This window comes from Homo sapiens, chromosome 19, assembly GCF_000001405.40.
Source record: "Homo sapiens chromosome 19, GRCh38.p14 Primary Assembly".
In the NCBI taxonomy this organism is placed as follows: domain Eukaryota; kingdom Metazoa; phylum Chordata; class Mammalia; order Primates; family Hominidae; genus Homo; species Homo sapiens.
In genome coordinates, this window is record NC_000019.10 from 32,894,648 (window position 1) to 32,921,913 (window position 27,266).

At 42.4% G+C, this 27,266-nt stretch overlaps 1 protein-coding gene across 5 annotated transcripts in view; it reads right to left on the reverse strand.

Annotated features, from left to right (window-relative positions):
- The window catches only part of CEP89 (centrosomal protein 89), a 96,034-nt gene that overhangs the window by 18,723 nt on the left and 50,045 nt on the right, over positions 1-27,266 (reverse strand). For 3 of the 5 annotated variants that reach the window (NM_032816.5, XM_047439562.1, XM_017027398.2), the window contains 4 exons: positions 23,577-23,692; positions 20,690-20,870; positions 6,598-6,765; positions 5,210-5,351 (listed from right to left, as the gene is read on the reverse strand). In NM_032816.5, coding sequence (NP_116205.3) covers positions 5,210-5,351; positions 6,598-6,765; positions 20,690-20,870; positions 23,577-23,692 — 607 coding nt within the window. Of the gene's footprint in view, positions 1-5,209; positions 5,352-6,597; positions 6,766-20,689; positions 20,871-23,132; positions 23,165-23,576; positions 23,693-27,266 lie in introns of those variants that run through there. The other 2 variants (XM_005259344.4, XM_047439563.1) reach the window with 2 other exon arrangements.

A 27,266-nucleotide genomic window follows, 5' to 3' on the forward strand; every position in this document is an offset into this window, starting at 1 on the left:
GTGATACATGTTAGAGCATGTACATGCTGAGTGCATGCACCAACCATAGTTCCACCTTTCACACTTGACCTCACCAATACTTTATGAATATGCATGCACAGCTCCTGTAAAGGGCATCCCCTTAAAATATTAGGGTCTGTCTCTTACTCTGTCTCTCAGAGTGACTTCTGCTATGCAATAGACTTCTTCACCTGCTCTTACTTTGGACTAGCTCTCAAATTCTTTTGTGAAGTCAAGAACCTGAACTGGCCCATTGACAACACTACCAAGATTGAATTAGGAAGAAATAGAAAACTTGAACAGACCATTAACAAATAATGAGATTGAATCATTAATAAAAAGTTTCCCAACAAAGAAAAGTCCAGGACCAGATGGTTTTTCTGCCAAATTCTACAAACCTTACAAAGAAGAACTAATACAAATTCTCCTCAAACTATTCCAAAAAAATTTAAGAGGAAGGAATTCTCTCTAATTCTTTCAGGCCAGCAATACCCTGCTACCAAAACCAGACAAGGCCACAATAAAAAAAGAAACCTACAGGCCAATATCCCTAATGAACACAGATGCAAAATCCTCAACAAAATACTAGCAAACCAAATTCAACAGTACATCAAAAAAATAATATGCCATGATCAAGTGGGATCAAGAGATGCAAAGACAGTTCAACATACACAAATCAATAAACATCATAGATCACATCAGCAGAATGAAGGATAAAAACCATATGAGCACACCAATGGAAACAGAAAAAAATTGGATAAAAATTCAACATCCTTCGTGATAAAAACACTTAATAAACTAGACATAGAAGGAACATACCTAACATAATAAAGGCCATATATGACAAACCCACAGCTAACATCATACCGAGTAGGGGAAAGCAAAAAGCCTTTCCTCTCAGAACTGAAACTAGTTAAGGATGACTACTTTCACCACTCTTATTCAGCACAGTACTGGAAGTCCTAGCAAGAGCAGTCAGGCAAGAGAAAGAAATAAAAGTCATCCAAATTAGAAAAGAGAAAGTCAAATTTTTTCTCTTTGCCAATGACATGATCTTATATTTAGAAAAAACTAGACTTCACCAAACGACTCTTAGATCTGATAAAAAAAAAAAAAGTTTAGTAAAGTTGCAGAATACAAAATCAATGTATAAAGATCAGTAGTGTTTCTATACACCAATAATGAATTCCCTGAAAAAGAAATCAAGAAAGCAATCCCATTTACAATAGCTACAAAAAAATACCTAGAAATAAATTTAACCAAAGAAGTTAAAGATTTCTACAAGGAAAGCTACAAACACTGATGAAAGACAATGAAGCTGATTCAAACTAATGGAAAGACATCCCATGATCATGGATGCGAAGAATTAACATCATTAAAATGACCAGACTCCCCAAAGCAATCAGCAGATTCAGTGCAATCCCTATCAGAACATCAATGACGTTTTTCACAGAAATAGAATAAACAATCCTACTTTATACATATGGAACCAAAAAGGAGCCTGAAAAGGCAAATCAGTCCTGAGCAAAAAGAACAAAGCTGAAGGTATTACCCTACCTAACTTCAAAATACATTACAAGGCTATAGTAACCAAAATAGCACAGTATCAGTACAAAATCAGACACATTGGCCAGTGGAACAGAATAAAGCACCAAGAAACGAGCCCACATATTTACTGCCAACTGCTTTTCAACAAAGGCACCAAGAACATACGCTGGGGAAAGGGCACCCTCTTCAATACATGGTGCTGGGAAAATTGGATATCCATATACAGAAAAATGAAATTAGATCTCTATTTCTCATCATATGCAAAAAATCCACTCACAATGGTTTAAAGACTTAAATCTAAGACCTGAAACTATAAAACTACTAGAAGAAAACATAGAGGAAGCACTCTAGGACTTTAGACAAAAATTTCATGGCTAAGACCCCAAAAGCACAGGCAACAAAAACAAAAATAGACAAATGGAACTATATTAAACTAAAAAGCTTCTGTACAGCAAAGGAAACAATCAATAGAATGAAGAGACAACCTGTTGAATGAGACAAAATATTTGCAAAATATTCATTCAACAAGAGGCTAATACCCAGGATATACAAGGAACTCAGTTCTCTCTGTCTCTCTCTCTCTCTTTTTTTTTTTAAGGAACACAACTCTTAATAGCAAACAAACAAACAAACAAAACCAATCCCATTAAAAAGTGGGCAAAGAATCTAAATAGACATTCCCCAAAAGCAGACATACAAATGGGCAACAGGCATATGAAAAAAATGCTCAACACCACAAATCATCACAGAAATGCAAATCAAAACCACAATGAGATATCATCTTACTCCAGTTAGAATGGCTATCATTAAAAAGACAAAAAATAACAGAGGCTGATGTCAACCTAAAATAATCAAAAGGGTGAGACTCTAGTTTAAAGAGAGTTTATTCAAGCACAAAGTTTGAGGACAGGCCACCCAGGAAGTAGATTCCAAAGAACAGAAGTCTGTGTTCTGAAGTGCACAAGTTTGGGATCGCTAATAGGACCACATGTAGGAAAGCTTAACAGAATTTCAGTGTCTTTCTATGTAAGACTGAATGCATAGTTACAACAATCTAATTAGTTGAGGCAGTCTTTTTCTTTCAGGAAAGGTATATTTAACATTCCACATTGAAGATATAACAGTCATGGGGTCATGGGTGCCATCTGGTCTTAGGTAGAAGAACAATAAAGGAAGCAAGCAGTTCATCTTTATAGATAGATGAGTGACTGGAAGGAGGAGAAGGTCTGGTCTCTGGTTTCTCCTAGTCATTTACAAAACAACAGCAATGAGGAAGAGAACTAACCTATAAGAAGCAGAATAGCCAACAAGCTACATTGCTCAGTCTCCAGGGCTTAACTTCCCCCTTTGCATAATACATTTAGAGGGTCCTGAAATTTTTTTTCTTTTCTTTTTTAAAATTGAGACAGGGTCTTGTTCTATCACCCAGGCTGGAGTACAGTGGAATGATCGACCTCCTAGGCTTAAGTGATCCTCCTTCCTCAGCCTCCTGAGTAGCTGAAACCACAGGCATGCACCACTATGCCTGGCTAAGTTTTTCGTTATTTGTAGAGACAGGTTCTCCCTATCTTGCCCATGCTGGTCTCAAACTCCTGGACCCAAGTGATCCTCCCACCTCAGTTTCTCAAAGTACTGGAATTACAGGAGTGAGCCACCATGCCTGGCCTGAAATTTTACTTTATTTTATTACACTGATGAGGATGTGGAGAAAAGGGAACTTTCATACACTGTTGGTGGGAATGTAAATTAGTACAGCCATTATGGAAAACAGTGTGGAGGTTCCTCAACAAACTAAAAACAATTACCATATGATCCAGCAATCCAACTGCTGGGTATTTATTCACAGGCAAGGAAATCAGTATATCAAAGGGATATCTACACCCCCATGTTTATTGCTGCACAATTCACAGTAGCAAAGATATGAAATGAACCTAAGTGTCCATCAATGGACAAACAGATAAAGAAAATATGCTCTATTTACACAATGAAATATTATTTGGCCATATAAAAGAACAAAACCATGTCATCTACAGCAACATGGATGGAACTGGAGGCCATTACGTTAAGTAAAATAAGCCAGACCTAGAAAGATAAATATGGCATGTACTCATTCATATGTGGGGGCTAAAAAAGTTGACCTCATGGAGGTGGAGATTATAATGATAGCTACCAGAGGCTAGGATGCATGTGGGTATGGGTGTGTTTGTGGGGGGCTGGGGGGCAGGTGGCTGAATGAAGAGAGGTTGCTTAATAGGTATAAGCATACAGTTAGATAGACGAAATAAGTTATCATGTTCGACAGCAGAGTAGGTTGACTAAAGTTAACAACAAAGTATTGTATATTTCAATATAGCTAGCAATGAGGACTTGAAATATTCTCCACACCCAGAAATGATAAATGCTCAGCTGGGTGTGGTGGCTCACACCTGTAATCCCAGCACTCTGGGAGGCCGAGGTGGGCAGATCTCTTGAGGCCAGGAATTCAAGACCAGCCTGGCCAATGTGGCAAAACCTTGTCTCTAGTAAAAATACAAAACCTAGCCAGGTGTGGTGGCATGCACCTGTAGTCCCAGCTACTCGGGAGGCTGAGGCACAAAAATGTCTTGAACCCAGGAAGCGGAGGTTGCAGTGAGCCGAGATCACGCCACTGCACTCCAGCCTGGGTGACAGCGTGAGACTCCATCTTAAAAAAAAAAAAAAAAAAAAGATAAATGCTTGTGGTGATGGATAGCCCAAATACCTGACTTAATTGTTACACATTCTATGCACATTACAAAATATCACATGTACCCCCACATGTGCATGTAAATATATTTAAAATATTTTTTAAAATGTAAAAATATTATGCATTAATAAAAAGATACAATTGTTTAAAAAGAAAAAAATGTTTTGTAACATTTTTTGAGAATGGTATCTCAAGACTGGTTTAATTAGCATTTTTTTTTTTTTTTTAGGGACAGGGTCTTTCTCTGTCTACCAGGCTGCAGTGCAGTAGTACAGTCATAGCTCACTGCAGCCTTCAACTCCCACACTCAAATGAACCTCCTACCTGAGTTTCCTGAGTAGCTGAGACTACAGGTGCATGCCACCATGCCTGGCTAATTTTTAAATTTTTTTTTGTAGAGATGGGTTCTCACTATGTTACCCAGACTGGTCTTGAATTCCTGGGCTCAAATGATCCTCCTGCCTCAGCTTCCTGAGTAGCTGGGACTACAGGCACACAGCACCATGCCAGGGTAATACAGTTGAAATTTTAAAATACAGATGGTTCTAGACTTACAACAGGGCTACATCCTGATAAACCCATCATAAATTGAACAAACTGTATATCAAAAATGCATTTAATCCTGGCAATACAGCAGATGGTTCCCAACTTATGATGGTTCAATCTACATTTTTTAAGCTTTATAATGGTGTAAAAGCAATGGGCATTCAGTATCAATGGTAACTTCATTATGAGTTGTAAGGAGTTCCTCAATTTATAATAAGATTACTTCCCAATAAATACATCATAAAGTCGAAAATTCCTAGGTGGAACCATCCATCGTAAGTCAGGGAATGCCTGGATAAAGCTTTTAATAGATCATTTTTTAAAATACTCTTAAAATCACATTTGCATATTAACTCGCAGTTTACTTGATGTAACCTTCAGGAAACTTACCAAACACATAAGACTGTCACGTTCCTGGGTTATGTTTTCTGCCAGGCCAACAAGGTTTGCCAGGTACTGATGAGCAGACATTTCGTTCCCCATGGCTTTTTCCACCTGCTTTTTGAGGACCTCAATTTTCTTTTGAGATTTCCTAGAGAGTTACCCCAAATGGTAGAATAAAAAGCCCATTAGTTTACATGGCTAGGGCATGGTGAATATCTGTATTACAAAAACAGCAAGTATGTTAGCATTTAAATGCTATTCTTCAGCAACCTAAATCTTCTATTAAGTTTCAAGGTGAGAAGAGGTAACTGAATTTAATTTGAAACCAAGCATAATTAGTGACCCCAACTCAAGTGAATAAGAGGAGTTGCAAATGTCTAACAATGAATAGGTTCATTTTTTTTTTTTTTTTTGAGACACAGTCTTGCTCTGTCACCCAGGCTGGAGTGCGGTGGCATGATCATGGCTCACTGTAACCTCCGCCTCTCAGGTTCAAGTGATTCTCATGCCTCAGCCTCCTGAGTAGTTGGGATTAGAGGCATGCGCCACCACACGCAGCTAATTTTCTGTATATATACATATATATATTTTTTTAAGTAGCCAGGGCTTCTCTATGTTGGCCAGGCTGGTCTTGAACTCCTGACCTCAAGTGACCTGCCCATCTCAGCCTTACAAAGTGCTGGGATTACAGGTGTGAGCCACCACACCTGGCCCATAGGCTCATTAAGTATTATTCTATTAACTTTCTGGCTTATGTTCTAAAAGGCACTTTCGAAAAAAAGATCCAGAAATTCCAAAGTAGACTTTTAGGAAATGGTTAGAAAAGAGCTCCTAGAACTTTGAATCTTAGGGTTATCAATATGACCATCAACCATATTTCAATTATAGACTTTAGAAATGTTGGTTAACATTGGTTAACAGCAACAATACTTATTATAATCTGATATCCAGTAATTTCAATTACCCTTTTCCATTTTATAGCCACTATTAGAAAAAGAAAAGATTAAAAGAAATGAAATGGAATATTCTTCATTTGTCTTTTTTTTTTTTTTTGAGACAGGGTCTCACTCTGTTGCCCAGGCTGGAGTGCAGTGGCGTGATCTCGGCTCACCGCAACCTCTGCCTCCCAGGCTCAAATGATTCTCCTGCCTCAGCCTCCCGAGTAGCTGGGACTACAGGTGCGTGCCACTACCGCCTGGCTAATTTTTGTATTTTTAGTAGAGACGGGGTTTTGCCATGTTGGCCAGGCTGGTCTTGAACTTCTGACCTCAAATGATCGCCTGCCTCAGCCTCCCAAAGTGCTGGGATTACAGGAGTGAGCCACTGTACCCAGACCATTTGTCTTTTTTAACTATTGAAAATAAAAGCAACTTAAAGGAAAAAAAGACACAAACCTATTGATTTTCTGTGCTCGTTCAAGTTCGGCTTCCAGTGCTTTGTTTTGCTCTGTCAAACTGTTCTTCTCTAACAGCAGGCTCTTCTTCTGCGCTTGCAGGACTGTCAGCTTCTCCATCAACTCCTCCATCTCAGCCCTTTCTTTCTCTTCTTCCTTCTGTAATTGGCTGAAGGACAAAAACATTACATGCTCGTATCCAGCACAATGAAGCTAAAATGGGGCAGTCACATAACGAGGAAGATGAGTGATAACAGCCCAGCCCTCCAGCCCCTGGGTGGGTCACTTGGAATGCCTCTGTGGAAACATCTCCCCATCCTGGGCCCTAGAGGACCTGGGACCAAGCTGCTAGACCACCGGAGAGAGGGTGTGGCTGGGCACACACTACGTGTGTGTCTGTGTGAGACAGGGTCTCACTCTGTTGCCCAGGCTGGAGTGCAGTGGCACAATCATGGCTCACTGCAGCTTCGAACTTCTGGACTCAAGCAATCCTCCTACCTCAGCCTCCCAAGTTGCTGGGACCACAGGCACACATGATACCTGGCTAATTTTTGTATTTTTTGTAAAGATGAAGTCTCACTATGTTGCCCAGGCTGGTTTCGAGCTCTTGGGCTCAAGTGATCCTCCTGCCTTAGCTTTCCAAAGAGCTCGGATTACAGGCATGAGCCACCACACCTGGCCACAAACTTCTTTGATGGTGATGATCTAACCTCTTTTTCTCCCACAGTTTTGGCTTATGTCTCTGTCTCTCTGTCTCTCTCTCTCTCTGTGTGTGTGTGTGTGTGTGTGTGTGTGTGTGTGTATGTGTGTGTATACCCTATTCCTTCCAAAAAATCTAAGATAGCTCTATTTTTTACATGGTTATAAATGCCAGATTTATTTAAAAAAAACCTGCTAAAACAATTTTTCCATAATAATGTAATTATAAATACATGTTTTTAAGACAAAAGAAACAAAGAACAAAGGGGCACTTATTTTGCTGAACACCAGCTTGGGTGTTACCGAATTTGCATAGAGAGTAACTTGGGATAGGGGCTGCATCCTTTACCAGCGCAGCAGGAATACACAACAATATATGATTTTAAGGTTTGTCAACTGTAACTGTAAAACATACAAAATCCAAGATTCATTTATTTCACTGAAAACTTATTTAACTATTATTTTATTGGATAAATTGTTGAACTGGATTAACGATAAAAGGTTAAAGAAGAATGTTGAAAATACCAAGACTTCTGCTTTCAGCCAAGATAGAGTTACAGAGACCAGATTTACTCCTCAGCTAAAAAACCAGGCAAAACAGAAGAAACAACAGTTTTCGGACTTTGGACAACAGGCGAGGCAGGACTGTGATCCCAAAGGGAAGGGAAAACAAGGTGAGTGCTGCAACTGCTCCCTCCACCTTCTTGTCTGGCAGACACCTGCTGAGCCCAGGAGCCAGAGATCCAAGAGCAGGAAGGTCAAGGCAGCTGGAATTTCCAGGGCAGGGCAGAGGGCGTTTCACGGAGCGAGAAAGGGCTCTAGAGACCTTGAAGGGTCTTTGGCTGGGTACTGATCTGTCCGTGTGTGAGAGGAAACTGCGTAAAGCCTAGGAAAGAAACACTACAAACAGTAGGCAGAACAATTTCTGACATGCACAAAGAACAGGAAATAGTTCATACCCCACCAGTCAGAATGGAAAGGCCTTATAATAAAAGAGATATTGGATAGAATCCTTAGAAGAGTGTTACTGTCTTAGCAGTGGGGCTAACTTAGCCCTAAGACTAGAGGTTGCTTTGGGCCCACCCTAACAAAAATCAGCTTTGAAAGAATCCAGCTTAGCCACATGCGGTGGCTCACACCTGTAATCCCAGCACTTTGGGAGGCTGAGGTGGGAGGATCCCTTGAGCCCAGGACCTCAAAACCAGCCTGGGCAACATAACAAGACCCTGTTTCTACAAAAAGAAAAAAAAAAAGAAAACAGAAAAGAAAGTAAACAAATAAATAAATAATCCAACAATTCTCTAGTGGCTTAAGTGTGCACCAGAATGAAATCTAACACTATTTAAAGCAATGCAATATGTCTAACATCCTGTAACATAAAATCTACACCATCCAGCACCCAATCAAGCATGAGAATAAGCAATAAAATATGATCCATGATCAGGAGGGGAAAAAATCAACAGAACAGATTCAGAAGTGAGAGAGATGATGGCGTTGGCAAACAAAGGTTTTTAGAAAAACATGCTCCTACATTTGAGAAAGAAGAGAAAAATAGCATGCTGGGGACAGAGACGGAGAATACAAAAAAGACTCAAATGGATCTTTCTTACAGAGATGGGAAAAATCATTACACAAAGTGAACAATATATTGGATGGGACTAACAGCAGATTAGATTGTAGAAGGATAGATTTGTGAAGTTGAAGAGAGATAGTAATAGACACTGTCTGATTGAAGCCCAGAGAGAAACAAGTGTGGGCTAAAAGTGAACAGAACAGTCAACAGGACAACATCAAGCAGTCCAGGAGAGGTGAGAGGGAAAAACAGAAGAGACCGTTCAAGAAATAATAGCCAAAAGATTTCCAAACTTGATGAAAAATACACACTGATAGCCCCAAGAAGCTTAATGAACTTCATGTAGAGTAAAGAAACCATGCTGGCCGGGTGTGGGGTCCCCCACTGTAATCCCAGCACTTTGGAAGGCCAAGGCAGGAGGCTCCCTCAAGGCCAGGAGTTTGAGACCAGCCTGGGCAACGTAACAAGACTCTGTCTCTACAAAAGATTTAAAAATTAGCCGGGAGCAGTGGCACATGCCTGTAGTCCCAGCTACTCGAGAGGCTGAGGCAGGAGGATCACTTGAGCCCAGGAGGTCAAGGCTGGAGCAAGCAGTGATTGCACCACTGCACTCCAGCCTGTCCAACAGAGCCAGACCCTGTGCAAAAAAGGGTCTGAAAGAAAGAAAGAAACCATGCTAAGGCATATCCCAATTAAAATGCTGAAAAACAGTGACAATGAAAAATTCTTAAAAGAAGCCTCAGAGAAAACACACGTTATCTTCAGAAGAATACAGATAACCGTGACAGCAGATTTTCATCATAAACGACGCAAGCCAAAAGACTATCAACAGCCAGCATCTTTAAAACTGAATGGAAAAAAACCCACAAACTACCAAAAACCTGTCAGCTTGGAATTCTTCACCCAGTGAAATCATGTAATCAATAAAGTTTCATAATTTTCCCAACGGAAGTACTGTAAATCTTTCCACATCTATTTGTGAAGCTTTGTCGATGGTTCCTTCCTTTTAATTAAAAAAATTTTTTCTCATGATGATAGCCTATCATTACCTTAGTTTTCAAAATATCATTTTCTTTCTTCCTTTTTTTTTTTTTTGAGATGGAGTCTCACTCTGTCACCAGGCTGGAATGCAGTGGCGCCACCTCCACTCACTGCAACCTCCGCCTCCCAGGTTCAAGCGGTTCTCCTGCCTCAGCCTCCCAAGTAGCTGGGACTACAGGCATGCGCCATCACACCCAGCGAATTTTTGTATTTTTAGTAGAGATGGGGTTTCACCCTGTTAGCCAGGATGGTCTCGATCTCTTGACTTCATGATCCACCTGCCTCAGCCTCCCAAAGTGCTGGGATTACAGGTGTAAGCCACCAGGCCTGGCCCAAAATACCATTTTCTACACATTTTTTTCCTACAAAGAAATACAATTAATTTTTATAAATTTTCTGTTTTGAACAATTTTGCTAAAACCTCTTATTTTTAATGATTTGTAGATTTGTTTTCTACAGATAGAATTATGTCATTTATGAATAATGACACTATTGTTTTCCCTTTTCCCAAACCTTCTAAGTTTTTCATGCCACGTGTGTCAGTTACCACTTGGTAGCCAGTGCTGTTAATGTTGTCAGAAATGGTGTCAGAGGGCAACCTTGTATTGTTTCCAATCTCAATAGGAAAGCTTTCAACATTTCCCTATTTGGTGTGATCTTTATTGTAGCTGTATTTTTTAATAGAACTTTAGAATGTTAGAATTTAATAGAAGTTTTACATCTACATTCATAAGTGAAATGAAAAGTAATTTTCCTTTCTTATATGATCACTGTTGGGTTTTGGTATCAAGGTTATACTAACCTCATTAGATTAAGGAGCATTAATTCTTTTTCTGTTTCTAGAAAGGTTTATGTAAGACTGAAATTATTTCTTCCTTGAATATTTGTAGAGCTCTCTAGTGAAGGTATCCAGGCCTGGAGTTTTCAAAGGAAGATTTTTTTTTTTAATTCAATTCTTTTAATGATTATAGGACTATTCAGGTATTCTTCTTCTTCTTGAGTCAGTTTTAAGGTAAGCTTTTCAAAGAATTTGACTATTTCATCTAAATTTTCAAATGTATTGACATAAATTATTTCTAGGTGCACACAAATTTAAATTTGTGTGAATTCTACTTGGTAAATTGAGCCTTTTATCTTTGTGAATCATCCTCTTTGCTTAGTATTGTTGTCTGTTCTGTTTGAGACAGGGTCTCACTCTGTTGCCCAGGCTAGAGTACAGTGGTGCAATCACTGCTCAGTGCAGCTTCAAACTCCTGGGCTCAAGTCATCCTCCTGCCTCAGCCTCCTGATTAGCTGGGATTACAGACGGTAAGCCATCACACCCAGTTAGTTTTTAAATTTATGGCAGAGACAAGGTCTCCCTATGTTACCCAGGCTGGTCTTGAACCTCTGGACTGAGCCACCATGCCTGGCCTAAGTAGTATTTTTTACCTTAACATCTACCTTGTTAGAGATTAAGATCTACCATGTCTATTTTGGTTTGTACTTGAGTAGTACTGCTTTTCCTGCCCTTTTACTTTTGACCTTTCTCTATCCTTATGCTTGGGACATATATCTTAAAGACAACACAGATGTGCTTTAGTTTACACTGTGACATTCTTTGTCTTTTAACTGGAGCATTTTATCCATTTAGCGTATCTACTGCTGGTATGTTTGGCTTTAAATCTAACATTTTACTTTTTGTTTTCTATTCGCCCCTTGCCCACCTTTCATTTTCCTGCTCTTATTTGGATTGTTTTTTAATCATTCTTTTTACCCCCATACTAGTTTAAAAGTTATATACATTGTTTCCAGAAATTTCATCATGCATATTTTCAAATTATAAAATTAGTCAACACTTTTATCCTCTTCTAATGATATAAAGACTTTAGAACACAAACTCCATGTGCCTTGTGCCTGATTATATGCTATTATTGTTGTGCCTTTTAATTTTATGTATTCTTAAATCCCCAAAGATATTATCATTTTATAGACTTAGTGTTCATTACATTTATCTATATATTTACCACTATCATTTACTTTCATTTTACTTCCTTCTTGCTTCTCAGGCATCCTGCCTTGAATCAACCATCCCCTCCTCAGGGGCCTCCCTTGAACACTGTATCTAAAGCAGTCCTCCTGACTGCAAGTCTCTCTCCATCTTATTATCCTCATATATAGATATATATATAAATACTAATAGTTACATATATAAATATATATACATACATATAATATATATATAAACAACATCTTTAAGAGTAAGAATTCTTAATTTTGGCTATTGTGTGTTTCAGTTCTAAAAATTCTATTTGTTTCTTTTTCAAATCCACTATGTCATGTTTTGTAGTTCCCTGAAGAAATTTTAGAGCTTCTCTGTCTCAAACTCCTGGGCCCAAGAGATCCTCCCGCCCTGGCCTCCCAAAGTGCTGGGATCACAGGCTTGAGTCACTGCGCCTGGCCTCACCCAGGACTTTCTTAAAACCCTCCCAGATGAAATGAAACACTTTTATTCCCTGTGGCTTAAGGAAGAAAGACCAGGGGCCAGGCATGGTGGCTCATGACTATAATCCCATCGCTTTGGTAGGCCAAGGCAGGAGGGTCACTTGAGAACAGGAGTCCAAGACCAACCTGGGCAACACAGCAAGACCCCATCGCTGCAGAAATACTTAATAATTAGCCCCGCACGATGGCGCGTGACTATAGTCCCAGCCACTGGGGAGACTGAGGCAGGAGAATCGCTTGAGCCTGGAGTTCAAGGCTGCAAGTGAGCCATGATTGAGCCACTTCACTCCAGCCTGAGACAAGATGAGATCATATCTTAAACTAAAAGAAGAGAATAAAGATAACACATTTTAGTCTAACATTCTGAGGACAGTCCATAAATGCTTTCCCTCCAAACATGTCTGTGGTTTCTCTATTTTTTTTTTTTTTTTGACGGATTCTCACTTTGTCGCCCAGGCTGGAGTGCAATGGCGTGATATTGGCTTACTGCAACCTCCACCTCCTGGGTTCAAGCCATTCTCCTGCCTCATCCTCCTGAGCAGCTGGGACTACAGGCATGTGCCAACACACCTGGCTAATTTTTGTATTTTTAGTAGAGATGGCGTTTCACCATGTTGGTCAGGCTGGTCTTGATCTCCTGACCTCAAGTGATCTGCCCACCTCAGCCTCCCAAAGTGCTAGGATTATAGGCGCATGCCACCACACTTGGCCAATTTTTGTAATTTTAGTAGAGACAGGCTTTTGCCATGTTGGCCAGGCTGGTCTTGAACTCCTGACCTCAACTGATCCACCTGCCTCGGCCTCCCAAAGTGCTGGGATTACAGGCATGAGTCACTGTGCCCGGCCCCATTTTTATCTTTTCTACTGTATTTTGACTGTACTTTTTCTGTTTAGATATGTTTAGATACACAAATACTTACCATTGGTTTATAGTTGCCTGCAGTGTTCAGTACAGTAACATGCTGTGCAGGTTTGTAGCCTAGGAGCAAACAGCTCCACCATCTAGCCTCTGTGTGCAGGAGGCTATGCCATGTGGCTTTGTGTGAGCACACTCTGTGATACCCACACAATGACGAAATCACTTAATGATGAGTTTCTCAGAATGTATCCCCATTAAGTGACACACGATTGTGTTTTGATAGCCCCCTAGATGTAAGTAAAGAAGGTATAAAAAGTTTAAAAAGAAGTCATTAATGGTGAAGGCAGGGGGAGAAATGACCATTTTAAAATAACAAAGATGCCACCAAATCTTTTTTCAGTGGAAATTGGAGAAAGACCTTTGTGGCTCAGAATGAACTGGCTGGGGAGGGAAAGCCTTTATGGCAGCTTTGGCTGAACAGCTTTGGGCTCAGAGTCGATAGATGGGTCAAGGGTAGAGGAATGAGAAGGATGGAGCCGGGAGTGTGACCCTAATGGGCTGTCCCGCGGAAGGGGCGGTGTTTGGAGAGAGAATTTATAACATGGAAGAGGGGCAGGAATTCATCAGAGCTCGAATATGTGGAATTCCATGAAGACCTAGTGAAAAATAGACAAAATGAGGAGTAGGAAACTGAGTGTTTTTGTTTTGGCTACAGAAGCTGAGGACACCTTGGAGCTTTGGAGGGCACTTCGGAGGGCAAGGGAGCAGAAGTGCCCTCCGACAGCCTCCACTAGGGAGCCCCTTCCCATGTTGGCATCATAATAGAGATAGGCCACATGCAGAATACTCACTGATTTATCAGCAAAGCAGCTGCTGAACCAGCGCTCACACCGGGGGAATGTCTGGGGAGGAGTTTGGGAAAGGGTTATGCCTCAGGCAAAGGTGAGGTCATGAGGACAAGATTTTTGTGTAGGGATAAAAGGGCTCATTGAACTTGTGTGGGGCAAGCCTCGAGGTGTGGTGTGTATGTGTTCTTTCACCTACCCTGGTTGAAAAGAAGGCAAATAATGGGTATTTTGTCTTGCTTTCTCTGCCCATTGGCAACCCTGCATGGAAGGAACAATGATGCGGGAAATGGCACAAGCTCATGTTCCTGGTGAGCTGTCAGTTGGCTTTGGATTGGACTGGCGGTCACATGTGGAAGCAGAGATGGCTCTCTTTGCTTTTACTATTTTCTAGAAAGATTGGGCTTACTCAAGATGAAGGTGGGAGAAAAACAAGGTGTCAACCCACTTCTCTAAGGAAATTTAGCAAACTCTTTTGGGGAGAGCTAAAGATTTAAGGGGACAGGTTGTATCTACAAAGGGAAGCCTTTATCCTGGCTTGTGGGAGACCTGTATCCTAAAGTAAAGCTGACCATTGCATGCACCTTATCTATATACACAGAGGCCTGCTCAGCAGCCAGGGAGATGCCTGCACAGGGAACCACCAGGGCAGAAAATCCCTCAACTGACACAGTACACACCAAGTACCAGTAGTTCCTCTTCCTAAAATCAGAACAGATGACTAGATGTGAACAAGCAACAAGGGTCATTAGGCATGATGAAAGAAATTGCAACATGAAAGAGAGATCCAGATAAGCAGAGAAGCTCAAGGGAAACTGAGATAACAGAGGACTAAGGAAGTTTTAAAAGAACAAAATGCCATGAGAAAAGAAAGTACAGTCACTAAATAAGAGCCAGACTAAACATGATTACCAGAATTTAAAAAATATCACAAGGGCTGAAAGATATATTTGAGGAATCTCTCAGAACTAAGGAAACAAACGATTGGGAAATGGAGAGAAAAGGTACTAGAAGTGGAGGACCCATCCAGGAGGTCCAGCCTTAGGTCATCAGGAACCTCAGAAGGATACGAGAGACACCAGAAAGGAAGAAGTGAATAGCTGAAGGGCATCTGCAGACCTCTGAAGACCTTGGTGGATTCACTGCAGAGGTACCCACTGCAGCGAATGAAAAAAAGACCCCCACACCTACACATATTCTAATGAAATACCAGTCAACCTAGATTGATGAGATAGGCCAGATGCAGTGGCTCATGCCTGTAATCCCAGCACTTTGGGAGGCTGAGGCAGGCAGAATGCTTGAGGCCAGGAGTTCAAGACCAGCCTGGCCAACATGGTGAAACCCCGTCTCTACTAAAAATACAAAAATTAGCCAAGCGTGGTGGCACACTCCTATAATCCCAGCTACTCAGGTGGCTGAGGCACAAGAATTGCTTGAACCCAGAAGGCAGAGGTTGTAGTGAGCTGAGATCGTGCCACTGCACTATTCCAGCCCCTGGGTGACAGAGCGAGACTCTGCCTCAGAGAGAGAGAGAGAGAGAGAGAGCGAGAGAGAGAGGGAGGGAGGGAGGGAGAGAGAGAGAGAGAGAAATGGTACACCTGTACAGGGCACTTAACCATGAATAGAGCTTGCAGGACTGGAAAGAAATTGCTCTGGGTGAGTCAGTGAGTGGTGGGTGCATGTGAGGGCCTAGGACATTACTGTACACTCTCGTAGACTAAATACTGTACAATTAGGCTACATTTAAATTATTTTTAAAATTGTTCTTTCTTCAATAATAGATTAATTTTAGTATACTGTAACTTTTTACTTTATAAACTTTTTAATTTTTTAACTTTTTGACTTTTTTATAACACAGCTTAAAACACACATTGTACAAATATTTTCTAATTTTATATTCTTACTCTCAAGCTTTTTTCTATTAAATTTTTTTTAAACTTTCTACACATTTTTTAAAAAAATGAAGAACAAATGCCACAGGAGCCTAGGCCTGCAGAGGGACAGGATCATCAATGTCACTGTCCTCCACCTCCATGTCTCATCCCACTGGAAACTCTTCAGGGTCAGTAACGTACATGGAGCTGTCACCTCCTGTGATAACAATGCCTGCTTCTGGACACGTCCTGAAGGACCCGCCTGAGCCTGTTTTACAGTTAACTTTATTTTGTTATAAGTAGAAGGAGTACACTCTAAAATAACAATAAAAAGTAGGGTAAATACATAAACCAGTAACACAGTCATTTACTATCATTATCAAGTATTATGTACTGTCCATAACTGCATGTGCTAGGCTTTCACAGGACTGGCAGTGCCGTAGGTTTGTTTACACCAGCATCACCACAAACACGAGAGTAATGCATTGCTCTACGATGTTACAATGGCTGTGACATCACTAAGTGATAGGAATTTTTTGGCCCCATTATAATTGTATGGGACCACTGTCGTATATGTGGTCCATTGTTGACTGAAGCATTGTTATGTGGTACATGGCTGTATGTTTTTGTAGTTATGACACTGCCACAAAAACACATTGGTCGCAGGAGCAGATGTTTGAGAAAAATAAAATTATAAAGATGAACATGATTTCAAAAATGTTTCCTTCCTCTACTACAACAAAAAAGCACATGTCTGGCCACACATGGTGGCTCATGCCTGGAATCTCAGCACTTGGAAGGCCAAGGTGAGTGGACTGCTTGAGCCCAGCTCAAGATCAGCCTGGGCAACATGGTGAAATCCTGTCTCTAATAAAAATACAAAAAATAGCCAGGTGCTATGGCACGTGCCTGTGGTCCCAGCTACTCAGGAGGCTGAAGCGGAGGATAGCTTGAGCCTAGGAGGTGGAGGTTGCAGTGAGCCAAGATCGTACCACTGCACTTCAGCCTGGGTGACAGAGGGAGATCTCATCTCAAAAAAGAAAAAGAAAAGCACGAGTCTGGCTTAGTCAGCATGTAATAGCAGAGTCAAAACCAGGCTCCAGTAATTGGAATCACTAGCATTTACTTAAGCACCAAGCTTCACATGCACTAGCTCATTTGTTGCCCCACACCAATGCTATGGAGGGAGAAGGAGGAGTTGGAGAGAAACAGAAGTCAATAGGTATTCAGTCAACCATTTTGAGCTGAAAGGCTCACCGTTTAAAACATTATTTCCCCCTTATTACAAAAGTGAATAGGACACTTGGAAATATAAAAACATACAAAAGGCCAGGCTGGTGGCTCACACCTGTAATCCCAGCACTTTGGGAGGCCTAGGCAGGCGGATCACTTAAGGCCAGGAGTTCAGGACCAGCTTGGCCAACAAAATACAAAACTAGCCGGATGTGGTGGTACATGCCTGTAATCCCAGCTATGAGTGGGGCTGAGGCATGAGAATTGCTTGAACCCAGGAGGTGGAGGCTGCAGTGAGCCAAGATCGCGCCACTGCACTCCAGCCTGGGTGACAGAGTAAGACTCTGTCTCAAAAAAAAAAAAAGGAAAAAAAAGAAAATTAAAATTACTCATTGTGATGGTTAATTTTATGTGTCACCTTGGCTCGGCTATGGTGCCCAGTTGTTTGCTCAAACACTAGACGTTGCTGTGAAGTATTTTGTTGATGTCGTTAACATTTACAATCAGTTGACTTTAAATAAAGGAGATTTACTCTCAGTAATGTAGGTGAGCCTAATCTAAGGCCTTAAGATCAAAAACAGGTTTCTCAATGAAGGAGTTCTGCCTCAAAACTGTAAGATGGAGATCCTGCCTGGGTTTCCAATGGGCTGGCCTGCCATATGAATTTTGAGCTTGCCTGCCCCCACAATTGTGTGAGCCAATTTTTAAAAGAAATCTCACTCTCTCTCTTTTTCTCACTATCCTATTGGTTGCTTCTCTCGAAAACCCTGGTTGAAACACTTACAATCTCATCTGCCAAAGATATGTTCTATTAATATTTTCCCATTCTGCCTTTTTTCTATGTACTTACAGTACATATGTAATTTTATATAGCTACACACATATAATTTTATAATTTATATAAAATATGGCCGGGCGCGGTGGCTCATGCCTGTAATCCCAGCACTTTGGGAGGCTGAGGCGGGTGGATCACGAGGTCAGGAGATCGAGACCATCCTGGCTGACACGGTGAAACCCCGTCTCTACTAAAAATACAAAAAATTAGCCGGGCGAGGTGGTGGGCGCCTGTAGTCCCAGCTACTCGGGAGGCTGAGGCAGGAGAATGGCGTGAACCCCGGGGGGCGGAGCCTGCAGTGAGCCGAGATAGCGCTACTGCACTCCAGCCTGGGCGACAGTGAGACTCCGTCTCAAAAAAAATTAAAAAAAATTTAAAAAATAGAATATATAAATATATAATAATAAAAAATATAAATATATAAAATATTCATATATAATTATACAAAATATTATATAATTATACATATATTAGTTACACATATTAATTATGTATGTTTCCTATACATAATTATCATATATACCATATGTATATATACCATATCTCTCTCTCTTACATACACACACATACAAGATTCTTTTTGACATGAGAAAATAGCCACCATATATATATATATATATTTTTTTGTTGTTGTTGTTGTTGTTGTTGTTGTTGTTTCACAATGTTGCCCAGGCTGATCTCAAACTCCTAGGCTCAAGCAATCCTCCTACCCGGACTATTACCAATTGGCCAATTACCAATTACATACATACCATACATAGGTATATATATACACGCACATACACATGTAATTATACAAACACATACATTTATACATACATACTAGAATGATCAACTCATTTCACTTTGCCTAGGACATTCCCAATTTTAGCACTATAAGTCCCACATCCTGGGAAACCCCTCAGTCCCAGGCAAACTGTTATGGTTGGTTACACACACACATACACACACACTTTTTTTTTTTTTTTTGAGACAAAGTCTCGCTCTTGTCCCCCAGGCTGGAGTGCAGTATTGCAATTTCAGCTCACTGCAACCTCCGCCTCCCAGGTTCAAGCAATTCTCCTGCCTCAGCCTCCCGAGTAGCTGGGATTACAGGTGCCTGCCACCATGCCTGGCTAATTTTTATACTTTCAGTAGAGACAGGGTTTCACCAGGTTGGCCAGGCTGGTCTCAAACTCCCCTCCTCAGCTGAACCACCCGCCTCGGCCTCCCAAAGTGCTGGGATTACAAGTGTGAGCCACCGTGCCCGGCCACACACACGTCTTAAAAAATAAAATTGTAATCATTTTCTATGTGCTGTTTTAAAACCTAAACTCATTACTTAAAATATATTGTGGCCAGGCAGGCACGCCCCTGTAGTCCCAGCTACTTGTGGGGCTGAGGTAGTAGGAGAACTGCTTGAGTCCAGGAGTTTGAGACCAGACCAGCCTGAGCAACATTGTAAAAAAACAGACATATGGTGGCTATTTTCCTATGTCAAAAAGGATCTTGTGTCACATCATATTTAATGACTGCATTTCCTTCCATTTCAAGGATATATCCTTTCATTTAACTAATTCCTTATTACTGGATATCTAGGTTTCCAGTTTTACTATTTTATTTATTTATCATTTTTTGAGATAGGAGACAGGGTCTTACTCTGTTGCCCAGGCTGGAGTACAGTGGCGTGATCTCAGCTCACTGCAGCCTCGATCTCCCATGTAGCTGGGACCACAGGCGCATACCACCACGCCTGGCTAGTTTTTGTATTATTATTATTTTTTTTGGTAGACATGCAGTTTCGCCATGTTGCCCAGGCTGGTCTCAAATTTCCAGGTTCAAGTGACCTGCCTGCCTTGGCCTCTCAAAGTGTTGGGATCACAGGCATGAGGCACTACCCCCAGCCCAGTTCCACTATTTTAAATTGCCTTTGGTTCTAAAACTAACACAGGCCAAAACAGTATGAAAAAAAAATCACAAACACCCAAAGTGCAGACTGCAGCCCTCAAGGAGAGCCAGGCTCTACTTTAATTTACCATTTATTACCAAAGTTATTAAAAGAAAAAAAAAGTCAGGCTGGGCGTGATGGCTTACACCTGTAATTCCAGCACTTTGGGAGGTCAAGGCAGGCAGATCACTTGTGGTCAGGAGTTTGAGACCAGCCTGGTCAACATGGTGAAACCCCGTCTCTACCAAAAATACAAAAATTAGGCAGGTGTGGTGAGCCGCCCCTGTAATCCCAGATACTCAGGAGGCTGAGGCAGGAGAATCACTTGAACCCAGGAGGTGGAGGTTACAGGTGCCGAGACTGCACCACTGCATTCTAGCCTGCGCAACAGAGTGAGAGTCCGTCCCAAAAAAAAAAAGTCCCAGTCTCACTTTCAGACACCTGTGCCACTATGCTGTGCATGACCATAGGTGAAGAAACCCAGAAAGAACTGAGCAACCTCTCTCCATTCTGCCTATAACCACAGGCAGAGTGACTCATTATACTCAAAAAGTCATTAAATCAGCTGGGCGCAGTGGCTCATGCCTGTAATCCCAAAACTTTGAGAGGCTGGGATGGGCAGATCACTTGAGCCCAGGAGTTTGGGACCAGCCTGAGCAACATAGCAAGACCCTGTCTCGAAAAAAGAAAAAAAAAAAAAAAGAAAAAACATTAAATCCTTACCTTTTTAATTCATTCACAATTGATTTATGAACTTCCACTGCGATTTTGCCATCCGAGTGTGTTTTGAGTTCTTGGCATTTGGCACGTAAAATCTCCAGCTGTTCCCTGTTCTCCGCCAGCTCCTTTTCCTGGCCGTGGGTTTTTGCCTCCAGGAGCATTAGTTGTTTAGTCAGCTTAGAAACTGAAAATCAAAAGAGGAAGATAAAAACTTGGCACAGAAGACCTCACAAAACACAATTATGGGCTATTAGGAAATACTAATGAGAGTCAGCTGATAAAAATGACCTTTTAAAGATCTTTTGAGCCAGACGTGGTGGCTCACACCTGTAATCCCAGCACTTTGGGAGGCTGAGGCGGGTGGATCACGAGGTCAGGAGTTCAAGACCAGCCTGGCCAAGTTGGTGAAACCCTGTCTCTACTAAAAATACAAAAATTAGCCAGGCGTGGTGGCAGGCGCCTGTAATCCCAGCTATTCAGGAGGCTGAGGCAGAGAATCACTTGAACCCAGGAGGCGAGAAGGCTCAGTGAGCTGAGATCACGCCACTGCACTTCAGCCTGGGCAACAGAGTGAGACTCTCTCAGAAAAAAAAAAAAAAAAAAAGATATTTTGGAGTGTTATAAATTAACACCAAAGGCTTTGTCCTTAGAAGTTACTGTCCATACTAGGCACAGTGACTCATACCTGTAACCCCAGCCCTTTGGGAGGCTGAGGGGAGTATTGCTTGGGGTCAGGAGTTTGAGACCAGCCTGGGTAACATAGTGAGACCCCATCTCTACATAAAAATTTAAAAATTAGCAGGGCATGGTGACATGCGTCTGTGGTCCCAGATATCCGGGAGGCTGAGGCAGGAGGACTGCTTGAGCCCAGAAGTTCAGGACTATAGTGAGCCGTGACTGGGCCACTGCACTCCAGCCTGGATGACACAGCGAGACCTTGTCTCCAAAAACAAAAACCAAAAAAGCCAAAAGAAATTACTATCTCTACATTAAGCACTCACTAAATATATACTTTTTAAAATAAAATCCACTATAATATTTTACCAAACATGATTCCAGTCTTCAAGGAACTGACTTTCCTAAGAGTAAAGCCTTAAATCACACCCAGGTGTGTAAGTATATGTCATAACGTTGTCCCTAAAGCTGCAAAATTTTCAAGATTTTTAAGGACATCAAACATGGCCAAACTAAGAACTGGATTTATTATTCTCCTTCCCTTTCGTCATTAAACTTTTATTTTATGTCTTGTATCTAAAGTAAGTCATAAATATTTTCATCCTGTGTTACATGGTTGCATGTAATAATTCCCAAGCGTCTGCCGACACTAGCACTTAGAGGTATTTATTATAGCATAAAACTGTACATCTCTCTACTCTATGAAAATATCTAATTGGTGGCTGGGCACAGTGGCTCACGCCTGTAATCCTAGCATTTTGGGAGGCCAAGGTGGGTGGATCACTTGAGGTCAGGAGTTCAAGACCAGCCTGGCCAACATGGTGAAACACCCCTACTGAAAATACAAAAATTAGCCGGGAGTGGTGGCGCGTGACTGTAATCCCAGCTACCCGGGAGGTTGAGGCAGGAGAATCGCTGGAACCTGGCAGGCGGAAGTTGCAGTGAGCCTAGATCATGCCACTGCACTCCAGTCTGGGCGACAGAGTGAGACTGTCTCAAAAAAAATAAAAAGAAAATATCTAATTGGTCAAAGTGAATCGCTGTTTCTGGGCAATGGGAAAATAGCACAGGCAACTCACTGAATCATAGAGGTCAAAAGGTTTTCCCTGCCCCATGTGACCAGAAATCCTCTTTCTGTTCAGATCTGGTATATTCAAGAAAATTAAGCTCAGTAAATAGGAAACTAATGTCATCCCTAACCCTGAAAACAAAGATAAGAGGCTCCACAACTCTGTTTCCCCTCTCCTCTTAACAATGCCGGAGTAAAGGCAAATACTCCTGGGCCATGCAGGTCTCAGGAGAAATCACATGGAGGAAACTCCTGTGTGCATCTCTGGGAGATGCTCTCATCTTTAAACACGACCTGGTTCTCAGAAACAGGAAGTGCTAGCCCTGCAACTGCAGCAACAGCAGGGGCTGTTCATGGACCTGCCATGCTGTGGAAGGGGCTGCCATTCCAAAAGCAGCTGGAGAGGGAAAACCTCCATCTGCTTCTCAGGGTGCCACAGCCTCATGCAAGATGGCTTGTGTTTCAGCTTCCCAGCCTATGCCATTCTTCACTAAGAAAGAAAAATCAGTAAAGCAAAGGGAAAAAATGCCACTATCTTTTGTACTCATGAATTACGGTTTTAAAGCAGAAGCGATGACTCTTAACCTGGCCCCCTTACAGTTGTGCACTGTCACAGACTATGAGGCTCCTAGGGGTTGGGGGAATGCATGGGAAGAGATGGGAAGAGGGACACTCTCGGAAGGTGTTTGATGGAAATCTAACCTGCAGTGATGTCGCCTCCCAGGCCCGCAGCTCTGAAGGAAGGAAGGACACAGGGGAACTGTTTAGAAAGTGAATGGTTCTGCTTACGCATCCAACAAACATCTGGGAAGAGACCCTGTGTTATTTCAGATGTTTACCTCACGTGATCATTCCCATTTCTAAGGTACTATTTTACCCCAAAACCAGTTCTGCTGAGTCTAGCACTATTACCTACGAGTGATTTACAAACCCATGGGATGATGAGAGACACTGTGGAGTCTGAAAAAGCAATCTATGCATTGAGGGTAGTGACGTGGAAAGGTTATAAACAGCCACATTCCAGTCAAAAATGCAAAACATGACTTCTCTCATTTTCAACTGGGGCCCCCGGCAGGAGAGAGATAGAAGGGTAAAATGACAATAGTGACATCAATGCATGACCAGTCCTCACTGGAAGGACCTCACCTTCTTGGAGGCGCTCCTGGTGGCTGTCCTTGGCTTTCCTTTGCTGAATCTCCAACTGCTCCAGCAACAACTTGTTTTCCTCTAAAACCAGTTTTGCTTGAGTCTGAAGCTGACGCCTGCAATTGATTTACAAGATGAAATACTGTGATTCAGGTGCTGAATGGTTACAGAAACACTCTGGAATCTAAAAGGAAGCAATGGCTGCATTACAGGTAATGAATATCAAGTCATGTCTTCATGTTAAACATATTAACACAGCAGCAAATCCTGCCATTTGCAGTCAGGCGAGGAAGGACAGCCGTGAAGTCTGAATTACGGACTGCTTCAGAAAACGCTTTCAGATGTAAAATTTCAAACATGTACAGAAGTAAAGAGGATAGAGTAGGAGACTCCTATGTGCACAATACCCAGCTTGAACAGTCACTAAATGGCTGATGAGGTTTCATCTGTATAAACCTCTAGTCCTGCTGCCCACTATATTATTCTGAAGCCCATATGGAACATGTTTAAAGAATTTAGAAAGTTCCCATTTCAATTTTAAAATACTCCTTTGTAATCAGTAGCATATTTGCAAAACAAAACAAAACAAAAAAACAAAAAAAACTGACTCTGTTAGCAGGCTTTGAAATGGTTTCTTTTTTCTTTTTTCTTTTTCTTTTTCTTTTTTTTTTTTTTTTTTGAGACAGAGACTTGCTCTGTTGCCCAGGCTGGAGTGCAGTGGCGCAATCTCGGCTCACTGCAAGCTCTGCCTCCCGGGTTCACATCATTCTCCTGCCTCAGCCTCCCAAGTAGCTGGGACTACAGATGCCCACCACGCCGCCTGGCTAATTTTTTTGTATTTTTAGTAGAAACAGGGTTTCACCATGTTAGCCAGGATGGTCTCGATCTCCTGACCCCGTGATCTGCCCGCCTCGGCCTCCCAAAGTGCTGGGATTATAGGCATGAGCCACCGCGTCCAGCCGAAATGGTTTCTTAAAACTGTATGAATCTGCCCCAGCTTTCCTCTCAGCACAAACAAATCCTCTCCTTCCAGTGCAATGTAAAACCCAGCCCAGCTCAGCCCTCAAGATCGCAAATTCTGATTAGAATGAGCTGAAGGGACCTTAGAAATCATCTAGTGAAATGCTGACCACCCAAAGTACACTGGGCGTTAAGTTTATTTACTAAAGCAGTAAATAATCTCGATTTTCCACTTGAAACCCTACAGGTGAGGAGGAGGAAGGAGAGAGACAAGATGAAAGGAGTCAGGCTGTAACAATGGTGTGGCCCCAACAGTGGTGTGCACTGGCTCCTGGGCACTGTGGGGGTGCCTCTTGCCTGCTACCAGCACCCAGGGAGTGGGCTGCCATGCTGTTGGGAGGGGGCTCGCCCAAAACTGGTCTGTGCTAGCCTCCTCATTCCCGCCACAAACTGGGCAGCTCCATGATGGTCTGTTTTATGTTTTAGACTTATTTATTTAGAGATAGGGTCTCACTCTGTTGCCCAGGCTGGAGTGCAGTGGTGAAATCTTGGCCCACTGCAACTTCCACCTCAGCTTCCTGAGTATCTGGGATTAGAGGCATGCATCACCACACCAAGCTAATTTTTGTATTAGTATGTTTTGGTAGAGACAGGGTTTCACCATGTTGGCCAGCCTAGTCTCGAACTCCTGACCTCAGGTGATCCTCCTGCCTTGGCCTCCCAAAGTGCTGGGATTACAGGCGTGAGCCACCATGCCCAGCCGCATTTTGGACTAATTTATAAGACTTTTTCTTTATTTGTTCATTCATTCATTTGTTCACGCCTTCCTTCCTCCCTTCCTTCATTCATTTCACTTTTTATTTTTTAGAAACAGGGTCTTGTTCTGTCACCCAGGCAGGACAGGAGTACAGTGGCGCCATCAGAGCTCACTGTAGCCTTGAATTCCTGGGCTTAACCGATCCTCCTGCCTCAGCCTTCTGAATAGCTAGGACTACAGGTGCATGCCATCACGCCCAGCTAATTTTTAATTGTTTTGTTTTTGTTTTTGTTTTTTTGAGACAAGGTCTTGTTCTGTCACCTAGGCACAGTGGTGTGATCATAGCTCACTGCAGCCCCGAACTCTTGGCCTCAAGTGCTCCTCCCACCTCGGCCTCCCAAAGCATTAGGATTACAGGGGTGAACCACTAAGCCTGAGCCATTTCTTTTTAAAATGAAAGGGATCAATCCCCCATTCCTAAAAAAGAGTTCAAAATCTCAGATTTGGTTTAACACTCCCTCTTATTTTGTTTTATTTATTTATTTATTTATTTTATTATTTGAGACATGGTCTCGCTCTGTTGCCCAGGCTGGAGTGCAGTGGCACGATCTAGGCTCACTGCAGCCTCCACCTCCTGGGTTCAAGTGATTCTCCTGCCTCAGGCTCCTGAGTAGCTGGGATTACAGGCGTGCACCACCACACCTGGCTATTTTTTATATTTTTAGTAGAGATGCGGTTTCACCATGTTAGCCACACTGGTCTCAAACTCCTGGCCTCAACTGATCCTCCTGCCTCAGTCTCCCAAAGTGCTGGGATTATAGGCGTGAGCCACTGTGCCCAGCCTCCCTCTTATTTTATAGAGAAAGAAACAGACCCATTAAGCCTGAGGTCACCCAGTGATTCAGGGGGAGTTAGGAAAAGAAATATACAAAATTTAGTTGCACCCCAGAAGTTCATTGAGAAATTACTGGCAACCAAGCAGAAAGCGTCTGCTGGGCCAGGTGCGGTGGCTCACGCCTGTAATCCCAGCACTTTGGGAGGCCGAGGCGGGCAGATCACCTGAGGTCAGGAGTTGGAGACCAGCCTGTCCAACGTGGTGAAACCTCGTCTCTACTAAAAATAAAAAAAAAAATTAGCCAGGCGTGGTGGTGGGCGCCTGTAATCCCAGCTACTCAGGAGGCTGAGGCAGGAGAATCACTTGAACCCAGGAGGTGGAGGTTGCAGTGAGTCGAGATCGCGCCACTGCACTTCAGCCTGGGCAGCAGAGCAAGACTCTGTCTCAAAAAAAAAAAGAAAGAAAGAAAGAAAGAAAGTGTCTGCTGAAGTGTGAAGTCCGTGTACCGAGTGCTGCATGCAGGTTTAGCAGCCGTGCAGGTGTGCAGGTACCGAGAGCGGCAAGGTCTGCCCACCAAGTGTGATGCTCCAGAGCCCAGAGACCCTCCTGCAGCTGGAGGGCAGTGAATTCAAAGTAAGAGGCTGGCGGCCAGGGAGGCCCTGAGCAAGCCTGACACTCTCCCCATGCTGGCGTGGGCCATCACACTGGAGCAAAGGGCAGATTTCAAATCCCAACAAATGCAGGATTGGGGAACACTGCGGGGCTGTGGATTTGAAAGCAGGGCCTGCCTTTCTTTCCTTTCTTTCACTGGTTTTATTTTAAGGAAACGCAGACAAGTTGGATTTGTGGCTGTATACAATGCTAGGGAAGGAATCTGGGGTTCCAGAATCTGCCAAGGTCTCTTGAGCCCCAGCCTGGCTAAGCTGCTTTCCAGTCCACTGTTCAAGGAGGGTGCGAGGGGAGACACACTAGGAACCCTGAAGGAAGAAAATCCAAGCTCAGCCAGGGAGGTCACAGAGCACCAAGACCCAGGAGCTGCCTGAGCCAGTCCCACCTGACGCATCGGTGACCACAAAATCAGGGAGAGCCAATGGTAAGAATGCTGTTGACTCAATTCCAGATTTCTAAACATCACATA